At 36.9% G+C, this 11,931-nt stretch overlaps 2 protein-coding genes across 2 annotated transcripts in view; both read right to left on the bottom strand.

The window, feature by feature from the left end:
* The window catches only part of GPHN (gephyrin), a 1,227,209-nt gene that overhangs the window by 348,592 nt on the left and 866,686 nt on the right, over nucleotides 1–11,931 (bottom strand). The window lies entirely within an intron of this gene.
* EIF2S1 (eukaryotic translation initiation factor 2 subunit alpha) overlaps nucleotides 248–11,931 on the bottom strand; it is a 26,189-nt gene continuing 14,505 nt past the window's right edge. Inside the window, exons 4-8 of the mRNA NM_004094.5 lie at nucleotides 10,174–10,325; nucleotides 5,999–6,105; nucleotides 5,074–5,171; nucleotides 4,174–4,317; nucleotides 248–3,449 (exon numbers count right to left, since the gene is read on the bottom strand). Coding sequence (NP_004085.1) covers nucleotides 3,324–3,449; nucleotides 4,174–4,317; nucleotides 5,074–5,171; nucleotides 5,999–6,105; nucleotides 10,174–10,325 — 627 coding nt within the window. The 3' untranslated portion in view covers nucleotides 248–3,323. The remainder of the gene's footprint in view (nucleotides 3,450–4,173; nucleotides 4,318–5,073; nucleotides 5,172–5,998; nucleotides 6,106–10,173; nucleotides 10,326–11,931) is intronic.

The raw sequence follows: 11,931 nt of genomic DNA, 5'->3' as shown, positions 1-11,931 counted from the left end.
CATGGACTCTGTCGGAGAACATAATCACGTATACGAAAAATACATTACATAGCTTTTCTATGAAAAATGGGCATTTAGCAATGCAGAGTAAGAGCGCTCTAAAGGACAGAAAAAGATGTAAATGGGGAAGATTTATATCAAGGCATTAAATTTTGGTTTTAAAATGAATATAAGCTGAGACAAATAGGTACCAAGAAACTTCACCAGTTGGAAGGTTAATCTGTAGTGAAAAGTCTGTATCATACAATACTTTTAAAGAACATTTTTATTACTTTCAAGTTTATACAGTAATCTGGCACAAGCTATTGCCAGCATTCCTGCCAAGTACAAATGCTTGGACCTCCCCTTAATCAACAGATAAAATACATAACTTACATTTAAGGGGAGTGGATACCTCAAAGTGCTTAAGTAAAAATTTGTTCTCTTTAATAGTTTGAACTGTCCCTTGTTAGTCGTGTCTAAAACATTGACCTGAATAATGAGAAATCACAAGCTAATGTTTTACTTATTCCTTATATGGTAAGAGACTACCTTTTAAAGCACCATTTTCCATTTGGCATTTCACCAAGGTCTAATGTCCCTGGAATTAGTTTTTTTGTTTTGCCTTTTGAATATCGATAGGTGTTCATCTGAATTAAACTACGTTTAGTTTGATGGCTTCCTGCCTCCAAATTGGCAACAGTGTACCTCACTTTGTATGGGAGCTATCAGGATCTCCATAGGTTGCAAAGTAGATGACCATTACCTTGGGGTTGGGGCAAATCAGTGAACAAGTCTCGGCAAGGTACTGGCATTTGTATTTTTAAAAAAATCTCTAGCCATTTTGTTCTTGGTGTAAAAGTAGAATGGCTGAAGTATGGCAGCTGAGTAATAACTGTTCTTCTTAGCATGATGTAGTGCTTAGCATGTCTCTATGGGTCCAACTTTGAACATTATTAAGAACTGGTTTGTCTTGTTTTGCTATAACTGATATGAAAAATGGTTTGGGTGGGGCATGGTGGCTCACACTCTTACAGAGGCAGAGGCAGGAGGATAGCTTGAGCCCAGGATTTCGAGACCTGCCCAGGCAATATAACACCATTTGCCAAAAAAAAAAAAAAAAAAAGAAAAAAGTGGTTTGAATATTCATATTTCTTCCTGGCCATTACTGATTTTCAATTAATTTATGCATAAATGAGACCCAAACTATCACTAATTTTCAGCTATATGAATTGATAGCCACTTGACATCAGTGAAAGGTACAGTAGGGAGTAGATGAAATTGTATTTTTAATGAAAAGGCTTTGATGGGAGATTCAAGATTTTTGGTTTTTTTTTTTTTTTTTGAGACAGGGTCTTGCCCTGTCACCCAGGCTCGAGTGCACTGGAGTGATCACAGCTCACTGGCCTCAAGTGATCCTCCTGCCTTGGCCCCTTAAGTGCCAGGGTTACAGGCATGAGCTACCATGCCTGGCAGAAATTCAAGATTTGGATAAACTTACTTCTTTGCCAAGCCTGTTCTTCAAGTTATTCAGAACTGGGTGTATACCTTGTCCTCATATGTATCTTGTCCCTGCTGTCTTTTAGGTTAGCAAGGTGTATGAATACTTTTAAGTTTTGTTTGTTCTTTTCCTCGTGGTATCAGTGAAATACTGATCTATTCTCTGGCTAGGGTCAATTTACAAAATTGCCATGGAACTGAGCAAAAGGCCCACGTGGGATAAAAATCACTCACCATCGACGCCACCAGTATTTTTCAAGTTATGGCTTTTGAAGTATAACAAATTTCAGTAAACAAAATCAAAAGAAAAAATTCCTCTGCGTACAACAAAGAAGCACCTGTTATATTTTGAATGCATTCTTCATGTTGCCAGCTTTCTAAACTTGTTTTTTTGATGCCTCAACAGACAGAAGTGAAAATTATATGCCACTCTTAAGTACATCCAGGTTCTCCTCTACATATTCCCAATATGGAATGCTGGCTAGCAATCATGGCACTCTCTCAGAAACCAGCCACTGGAAGTTAAAACTTCTGGATTTCAAAAGCTAGTACAGGCTGCTAAATTTAACAAAGGAACAAACCTTCATAAATGGTACAAACTACCTGCCCAACACACTCTTCTATTTTCCAGACCCTTTAATATTGAGTAGTCTAGTCTTGGATTGACTATGGTGGGTTAGGTCTAATCTAAGTATCTTAATAGCTATCTAGGGATAATGAATAAAATTAAATACAACTGGTACCTCAAGTATCATAAGAGAATAAATTTATGAAGACAAGCAGACCAAAGCAACTCAAGATTTTCTACACCTGACTACTGTAGCTGTAACTTCAAATAATGTGTTACCTATGAAACTTATTATGTACGAATTAGTTCTTAAAGACAGAAATGATGGAAACATGTAAAAAAAAAAAAACAACAGTAAGTGTTCAAACAGATCCCTGTTTTGTTATAAAGAACTGGAGCTCTAGGTGGCATCTAGTGGATATTTTAATAGCAATAAAAATAAAAAATTGGGTGATATTCCAACTAAATAAAAAATGCAGCTGCTTTTTAAAATTTAAAAACATACTTTACCACCCTGAATTATAAACTCAAGGCAAGTAGCTTATTATTCCAATAAGGACGTGGTGTGATAAATTCTCTCACACAGGTTGTCATCAATCTCAAATAGATAAAAGGCACAGAACCGATCTAATTCTTTCAATGCATTTTAAGGCTTTGTCCCGCTAAGGGTCAACTTTCACTGTGGTTAAAGTTAAATTTATTTTCTCTAAAACTCTTCTTTTGAAAGGATCTGTTATAGAGATCCTTTATTCACCTGCTCCTACAGTTCCACATCAAGACTAAAATAAAGATAAAAGAATTAGGGTCTTAGTATTAAAATGCTTTTAACTGGTGACAAGAAGGAAGAAGCCTATAGTTAAATATCCCAGAAATTTATTTGATGTTTGCTTGAATACATTTTATATAGAAAGATTGGGATTGTTTGCCTTGGATGCCCCTGGCAAATCTCGTGAGGCATTGAACTAGAAAGGGGTGCCAATCTGGAGACATCAGAAATGGAAATCACAAGCCCAATTTTAGAACTATTCTTAAAGATTTGTCTCTAGTGAAATGAGGCCACTCCCTTAAAAATGCTCAAAGTGTTGGAGCTACTGTGTGACAACAGCTGACATTTAGGAGGGCATTTCATGTTCTGATCTGTTAGAACATTTAAATACTTAGAAATAAAAAATATTCAGCTTTGAAGTTTTCAATACTGGAAAACTTTCAAGTCTAGGATTTACAGCCAGGAAGCGCTGCTCTGTGTTCCTTAAATTGGACTCTGTTTCCCACAAAGTTAATCTTCAGCTTTGGCTTCCATTTCTTCTGCATCATCATCTCCATCCACTTCGGCATTTTCTCTTTCAAGCCTCTCCATCTGCCTCGCAAGTTCAGTCTCATCTGTATCTGTGACCACTTTGGGCTGTGGAAGCAGAGGTATAATTTCAAACTGAAGTAGTAAATACTATACAAATTTAATTTCAATACTATTACTGCCTAATGTTTTCTCTCTTTAACACTTTTCTAACAACTCTGTCATATCTGTTCACTTTTGAGTGACTTATCAGCAATAAATTCCATTACATAAATAAGAGGTGAAACTTATGAGAATAGTATAGAAAAAGGATGTATGTATTAAAATGGAAAATTATTTTCTGTCATTTTTATAAGCTAAAACTGAAAACATGAAATAACCCCAATGGCTGTATCTTTCAAGACCACAAATAGATATCCTGTTAAAAAAACCTGTCTTCCAGGCTCAAACTACTACTTACTAGCTTACTAGTCCTTTCCATAGAAGGAACCATAACACACACACACACACACACGCACGCACGCACGTACACACACTTCTTTCTTGTTGGACAAGGAAAAGACAGGAGACAACTTTTTTTTTCTCCAATTCTGAGATCAAATTTTAGACATGCCACATGCAAATTCAAACCATAAAAAAACTTCTCATTTATATTGTTTATTCCCTTCCCCCTGGCTGGGGACGGGGGGTGACCCTAACACCATTAGTGATCAAAGGCCTGAATGACCATCCTACAATATGACATTCCAAGGCCGACAGCTCTTATTTACCTACAAGAACTCCTTTTAGGAACCTCCTGAGTCATTATTAAAAATGAATCTATTGATCTCACCTCCATTTGAACATTGAACACACCCCTCTTTTCCTCAATCTTCTCTTTGATAACAGCCATAGCTTGACTGAGGACAGAAAGGCCTTCTGTTCTCTCCAGGGTTGTCGTAGTCATTACATACCGAGGAGGAGCTATTAGATTAATCTAAAAGAGAAAGACAAAAATTCATTTATGAATGTACCTACAGAACCCACAACTATTAGGATGCTTGAGATTTTATTAATCTGCTGTATTAACAAATCACCCCAAAACGTAATTGCCAATTCTACAGGACAGTAATTTAGGGTCCTACAGAATTGGCAATTACGTTTTGGGGTGATTTGTTAATGTAGCAAAAGCAAATCAACACAGGGATCTAATGCAATAGTATAAACAGTTCACTGCGATACTGAATAGAAAGAATTATCATTTCCGTGTATCTTTGGTGGCTAAACTAACTGCAATTATCATCAGTATAATGGATAATTTGTCTCTGAACTAAACTGATGGAAGAATCCTTCTGAGTTACAGCCATCCAGTTAATTTTATCACTAATGAAAGATTCTGATCAAACCTCATAAAACTTGTATGTGTACAGATAGAAGAAAGTGTTACTCTTTTTTAAAGTGCTCTCAGTATTTTGGGCACAGCAACTCTTTATTGTAAAGGAGGTTTGGCATCGCTGGCTTTCTACCAATAGGAATCTCCATCCACTGTGATAGTAACAGTAGAAACCAACAAAGCCTAAACATAAATCACAAACATCTAGAAATATTACCAAGAACCACTGCTCAATTTTAAGAGTAAAAAACCCACTTTTGTTATGAAATGTGATTAAAAAAAAAAAAAGAAACAAAGATCAAAGATCCTATTTGGTTTAGGTGAGCATTTCAGCAGGGAGGGAGACAACTCATGACTCACCTTAATGGGCATGTTTTCTGTAGAACAATTCAAACCTGCTCTTAGGGCTTCTTTTACAGCATCAATGCCTTCATAACCATAACAAGCCACTTCAATATCTACAATTACAAAAATTCAAAAGTTGATAAAAAATGCAAAAAATATTTAAAAGTTTAAAGGAAATCAAACACGTGGCAGATATATTAGTATTCAAATACTTATACTGAATCCAACCTCTCTATACTGCAGTTCCTTATTTATAAAAGGGAGGCAAGGAGGAGTGTGGTAAAGATGGAATATAACAATAACTGCAACTTATCTAAAACGGTTTAGAAATTGCATTACCCTTTGACTCAGAAATTCTACTTTTAGGAATTTGTCTTGAAGAACATTTGTGTAAATGGTTAAGTATGTATAATATAAGGGTGCTAATTTGTAGCATTTTTTTGTAACTGTGAGAAAACTGGCACAACCTAAATGTTCATCAGGAGGGGACGGGTTTATGTTAAGGTTTATCTGTTCTATGAAACATTACCCAGCATAAAAAAGAATGAGAAAGATTCCTATGTTCTGCAATGGAAGGGTACCTATGATACACTGGGTGGAAAAGGCTAGTTGGAGAAAATTCCGCATGGTATGTCTCATCTTTGTAAAAATTTGGAATATTTTAAAGTATGCACTAAAACAAAACAATCAAACCCCTCTTTTTAAAAAAAGGGCTACCTTTAGGTTAGCTGAACTCACAAGACTGTTTCTACTTGTGTCAATATATAAATTTTATGATTCAGAAGCCAAAATAATTTCTTAAGCTTTTGTTATAAAAAACAACCATTTAGAAAAATTTATAGATGTTGATGTAGCAACATATTCTTTGGTAAGTCTCATTATTTAATAGCTTTTTTGATGCATGCAAAATACTGTAAAAATCATTTAAAAAATCATTTACCTGCTCGAATTTTGACAGCCTGTGGGGTCAAGCGCCTATTAATATTATTAATGAGTACTTCCCGTTCATCTTCATTCAAATCTAAACTATCCAAAATAGATGGGTCTCTGGTCAAAAACATAAATAAATAACAAAAGGTCAAGGTTATATTACTGATAAATGTGAAACCAAACACTATGGAACAATGCATATAATAGTTAAGCATATAATAGTTAATGCATATAATAGTTAAGGCTTTAGTGTCACAATTAGAATTCAAATCTTAGCTTTGCACTTACACCCCAACTGATTATTAGTGAAATCAAAATTTTAGTGATCTGACTAAAACAAGCAATTTAATGCCTAACACATCTGATATTCTACTATAATTGATTACTTCCATGCAATTAGCTGTCCCTGCCTCAAGGAGTTTATAATCTATCTTGAATAGAAAAAAAAAACATGGAAAAACTTTTAAATGTAACAGTACATCTGTGGGCATCAGGACAGAAAGGTATTACTTCCAGTTAATGAGGTCAGGAAGGGCTTCATGCAAAAAGTAGCATTTCATCTGACCCTCCTAAGTGCCACAGGACAGGGACCAGGGTCTTATTAACTGGCATGTTTGTTGAATGAGTGAGCAAATGAAAATATGAAATAAAGACTAAAAGAGGAGTAGCACTGTAAAAAGTAAAGGTAGAACTATTGTAAAAAAGTTATGATACATAAGGCTGGGCACCAGTGACTCATGCCTGTAATCCCAGCACTTTGGGAGGCTGAGGCAGGGGGATCACTGGAGACCAGGAGTTCATAGACCAGTCTAGGCAACATAGCAAGACCTCCATCTCTATTAAAAAGAAAAAAAGACACTTTGGGAGGCCGAGGCGGGCGGATCACGAGGTCAGGAGATCGAGACCATCCCGGCTAAAACGGTGAAACCTCGTCTCTACTAAAAATACAAAAAATTAGCCGGGCGTAGTGGCGGGCGCCTGTAGTCCCAGCTATTTGGGAGGCTGAGGCAGGAGAATGGTGTGAACCCGGGAGGCGGAGCTTGCAGTGAGCCGAGATCCCGCCACTGCACTCCAGCCTGGGCGACAGAGCGAGACTCCGTCTCAAAAAAAAAAAAAAAAAAGAAAAAGAAAAAAAGAAAGTTATGTCATGTAAAAAAGGAATAGCATGAGCAAGCATCAGGCTTAATAAGCAAGGGGTCTTATTGGGAATAAAAGGCAAGAGAATTTGGGTGGAGGGAACTTTTACTCAGCTAACATAAAGTAACGAGAAGACAACCAACATAAATGTATAAGAAACAAGATGATAAACAGAAAATGGGCAAATGAGGTGAACAGATGTTTCACAGAAGAAATACAAATGGTTAAGAAACATGAAAAACTGTTGACCTCTCCAACAATCAGGAGTATGCAAATCAAAAGATACTACTGTGAATTCATTAGACTAGAAAAAGGAGAAAAAATCAGATATATACCAAATTGTGGCAAGGATTTGGTGAAACCAAGTCAGTTTAAAGATATATAATCAATCCTATGACCCAACAATTCCACTCCTAGGCATATATATTAGAAACTCTCAAACAACTACATATAGAGACACATACACTATTCATCACAGCCCTGTTTGACAAATGGCACAGAAGGGAAAATTACCTAAACAACTCTTAATAGAGGAACAGATAAAGCATATTCTCACAATGAAATACTATATAGAGATTAATATGGATCAAGTATACATCTATCATTGTGGGGGAATCCTGCTTAATAATAGGCTTATATGTAAAAATGCAAGCTACAAAAAGATACAATAGGTTACATTTTAAATAAAAAATGATAATAGACACATATGTAGTAAAACAATAAAAACAAATGATATTGATACATAATTTCAGAATAGTGGTTATCACTGATAAGTGAGGAAAATAGGTCTGGAAAGGTAAAACATTGTTTCCAACTATGTCAGAAATTTTATGTAATTAAAAGAAAAATGCAAAGAACTAGCATTAGTTAAATCTGGACAGTCCCTACATGAATGAAGCAAGAAAAGAGTGCTAAGGAAAAGGGAATAACACACGCCAAGGTTTAGTGGTAACAAGGGGTTGCTGGAACTAGAAGTTAAAGAGGTAACTAAAGAAGCCAGATGATGACAGTTGAGACAAGTTAAGAAATGTACTGAGGACTGCAGGACAGAAATATAAAGTTGTGTTTAATGGCTAATAGTGCAAACTCTGGATGGAGCCAGAATGCACGCGTTTGAATACTGCCTGGCTCTATGATTTGTTAGCTGTGTGACCTTGAACAAATTATTTAATCTCAGCTTCAGTTTCTTCAACTGTAAGAAAAGGATAATAATAGCATTTATACCACAGGTTGTTGTTAGAATTATATAAATGTTAGTTATCATTATTACTATTCCCACCTTTTCTACCACGTGATATACCAAAAAAAAAAAAAAAAAAAAAAAGTCACATGAGAATAAACTTGAAGGGATTTGGAACCCCAGATGAGTTGGCTTTCTGGGGGACTCTTAATGGTCTTGGGTCCTACTCATTCTCTTTTTTCCCCCCTCTAACTCTTAACATTTAGGAAGGAGTGGGAGGTAAAGAGACAGCAAGTATAGAGAACTGAAAGAGTCTGGCTTTTTTTTTTTTTTTAAGAGACAAGGTCTCACTCTGTCATCCAGACTAGAGTGCAGTGGTGCAATCACAAATCACAGCTCACAGAAACCTCAAACCACTGGACTCAAGTGATCCTCCTGCCTCAGCCTCCCAAGTTGCTGGGACTACTACAGGCAAATGCTACCACACCTGGCTACTTTTAATTTTTTTTTTTTTTAGAGATGGCAGTCTTGCTATGCTGCCCAGGATGGTCTCCAACTCCTGGCCTCAAGCAATCCTCCCACCTCAGCCTTACATAGTGCTGGGATTACAGGCATGAGCTACCACACATAGCCAAGTGTGGCTGTTAAAAGCAGAGGACGCAGTGTTTGCTCCAAGAGAAAGTAAAGGAAAAGTTGAGAAGTGGGTTTTATAGTATAAATGGAAGAAACTAGAGATATTTTTATGCTGATGGAGTAAAAGCAATAAAGGGAAAGGTGACCCAAGAGAAAAAGTAACTAATAGAGATCTCTGAGCAGCAGCTGGGCATAGGTGGCAAGACTAGTTTGAGAGCAATTAGGACACAAATTCCAGTGACAGCAGCATAGGAAGAAATGACAGGTGGGACAGAGATATGTAAGTTTGTTGAGACAGTGGAAAAGTAGTTCTTGTGCAATGGTTTCTATTTTCTTTATAAAATAAAATAGGTAGTGAGCATACCAGCCAAGAGGCAGGGAGCAGGGATAGAGTGGTTTTCTGAGGAAGAACGTGGAAAAGCTCTAAAATAGCCACTACTGAAGAACTGACCAGGAGCAGAGAGAATGTGGAACAGCTGAGGCTGGAGACCATGAATATGCAGTGGACCAACCTGCAAGACTGATTTTTCCTAGTAGCACCCAGCAGTCTACAAGTACAGAGAAGGCAGGAACATTGATCCAAGGCTGGATGGATGGAAGGAAAAACAAGGCAAAAGCTCACAATAATGGCAACAAAGTCGTTAAAATGATGTATCATGGTGTGCCTATGTTGGATAAGAGAGAAAAGGCAGGAAATGGCGAAAAGACAGGGAGAAAAAAGGTTTGGAATCAGATCCTAACATACAGAATTAAGATGACAAATAATAGGACCAACTGGGAGCTAGATGAATAGGAGGCAGGGGCAAAAGAACAGAAAGTGTGAATTAAAGATTTTAGTGGCAGAGCAAATCCCGGTGATAGTAAGGCCCAGGCTAAGGCTACATGGAAGACTGGCTAAAGTGGTGTGGGCTGAAAGTCAAAGGAGAGTCAAAAGAGGTAGAGAAAACAAGAGGTTATAGTTTTTGGTGAGACATGCTCTTTAGTCCCATAGCCACTTAGGACAATAACTAGGAAAGGAAAATGTGTGAGATAAACCATATGGTTTATGAATCTACATAACTATGATACATAAAACTACACAGACTTGACCATATAGGATTGGCCCATTTACTGGCCAATACAAAATATTTTAATCTAAATTTGGCAAGTATTTTATACATGGATGCTATGCTGTTAAATATCAGGCCAAGAGTTGTGATATCAAGGTAGAAGGAGAGTCAAGAAGGTATTCTTACGAGACTGCATGCTTAAATGCATCATAGGCACCATATCCAGGTCTCTTGTACTTGTCATCAAAGACCCAGGCAGTCCTCTGGAATAGGCTTTCCAGCTGCTCATCCTTGGTGTATTCTAACACCTCAGCAACATGACGAAGAATGCTATAAACCTAGAAATAAAATGAAAAGCTCAACAATTCAAAGATAAGAGATTTATAAAAAATGTTTTTACATTTTAGTAAATAACATAATTTGGCTACAATAATTCCTTAACAATAAAAGATCTCCATAGGGAAATACTCACTTTAAGTGGGTATAAAAAGTAGAGATAGTATACAATTTAGGGTCCTAAGACCTGGATCAAGTCTTGACAGTAACACAGTATCTCTGAACTTGTTTCCTCCTCTGGAAAAAGAAGAAACTAGCATCTCTCCTTACTACAGAGTGCTCGCATAGATCAAATATATAGAAACCACACACTATAAATGGAAAACGGCTATACAAATACAAGTTGTTATTATTACTCCCTGAGGAGAGAATCACGATAAAAAAAATTTTTTTTCTGTCATCTTACCCACCTGCCAAACTTTTTCTTACCTCCTAAAATTAACAGGGTGTAGACAAAAAGTATTAAGGTCTTCATCATAGTTACACATAAAAATTGAGTGAGAAAAGGTACTGACACTGAATAACTCTTCCATTTTAACATCTCAATAAGATCTATTAACACACTCATTTTAACAATATCCTAAGGAGACAAAAAAATATGAAATTTTCCCAGAAAAGTGCTTCTCAAAAGTTAGTAGGACCTGAGAGTCTGTATTTCTAAAAAAACAGGTGATGTCAATGCTGCTAGTTTAGAGACTACATTCTAAGTGGTAAGGTCCTAGAGTTTATTAAGAAGATATTTTACTGACAGTGTTTTCAAATGTGTAAACCACACTGCATAACTGTAAATACATCAGTAAAACAAAGGAAATGATTTGGGTAACTGATGGCTTTTAGACCTTTATTTTCTCTCTTACTGGGATTAAGCAAGATTTTTTAAAATCTCTTCATTGAAACTTTTTTTTTTTTTTGATATTTTATCTTGAGGACAGAAACACTCATGGCAGAAAAGAACAGACACCAGAGAAGGGCAAAGAAAACAGAAGCAATACAAACAGTACCACTAAGAACTGAGGATAGGCTGGGCACACTGGCTTACGCCTGTAATCTCAAACATTCCGGGAGGCAGAGGCGAGAGGATCGCTTGAGCCCAGGAGGAGGTGGTTGCAGTAAGTTGAGATTGCGCCACTACACTCCAGTCTGGGAAAGACTTTGTGACACACACACACACACACACACACACACACACACACACACACACACACACAGAACTGAGGATGTAGAGGATGAAGGATAACTTAAACAGGACCTGAGAAAAGAGAAATACTGACAGAAGAAATTAAATGGCTATCTTTGCTTTGCTGCTGCTTACTGTGGATGACAAGCAGGAAGTAATAGCAAAAATAAGAATGCAAAAAGAAATAATCCTAACACGCTAGTGGAGGGGGAAAAAAACCAAAACTAGTAACAGGCCTCTGCCTTGCTTTCCTGGATTCACAGACATTTTATAAACCCCTGTTCATTCTTAACATATAACAGCTGGTTGTCTCCGTTACCCTCATCCCAGAACAGGGTTGAAAATCAAGAACTGTATTTTGGCCAAGTGCATTGGCTCACTTCTGTAATCCCAGCACTTTGGAGGGCTGAGGCTCAAGGATCACTTGAAGC

The sequence above is a fragment of the Homo sapiens genome, chromosome 14, assembly GCF_000001405.40.
Source record: "Homo sapiens chromosome 14, GRCh38.p14 Primary Assembly".
Lineage (NCBI taxonomy): Eukaryota > Metazoa > Chordata > Mammalia > Primates > Hominidae > Homo > Homo sapiens.
This window is presented reverse-complemented; position numbering and strand designations above follow the sequence as displayed.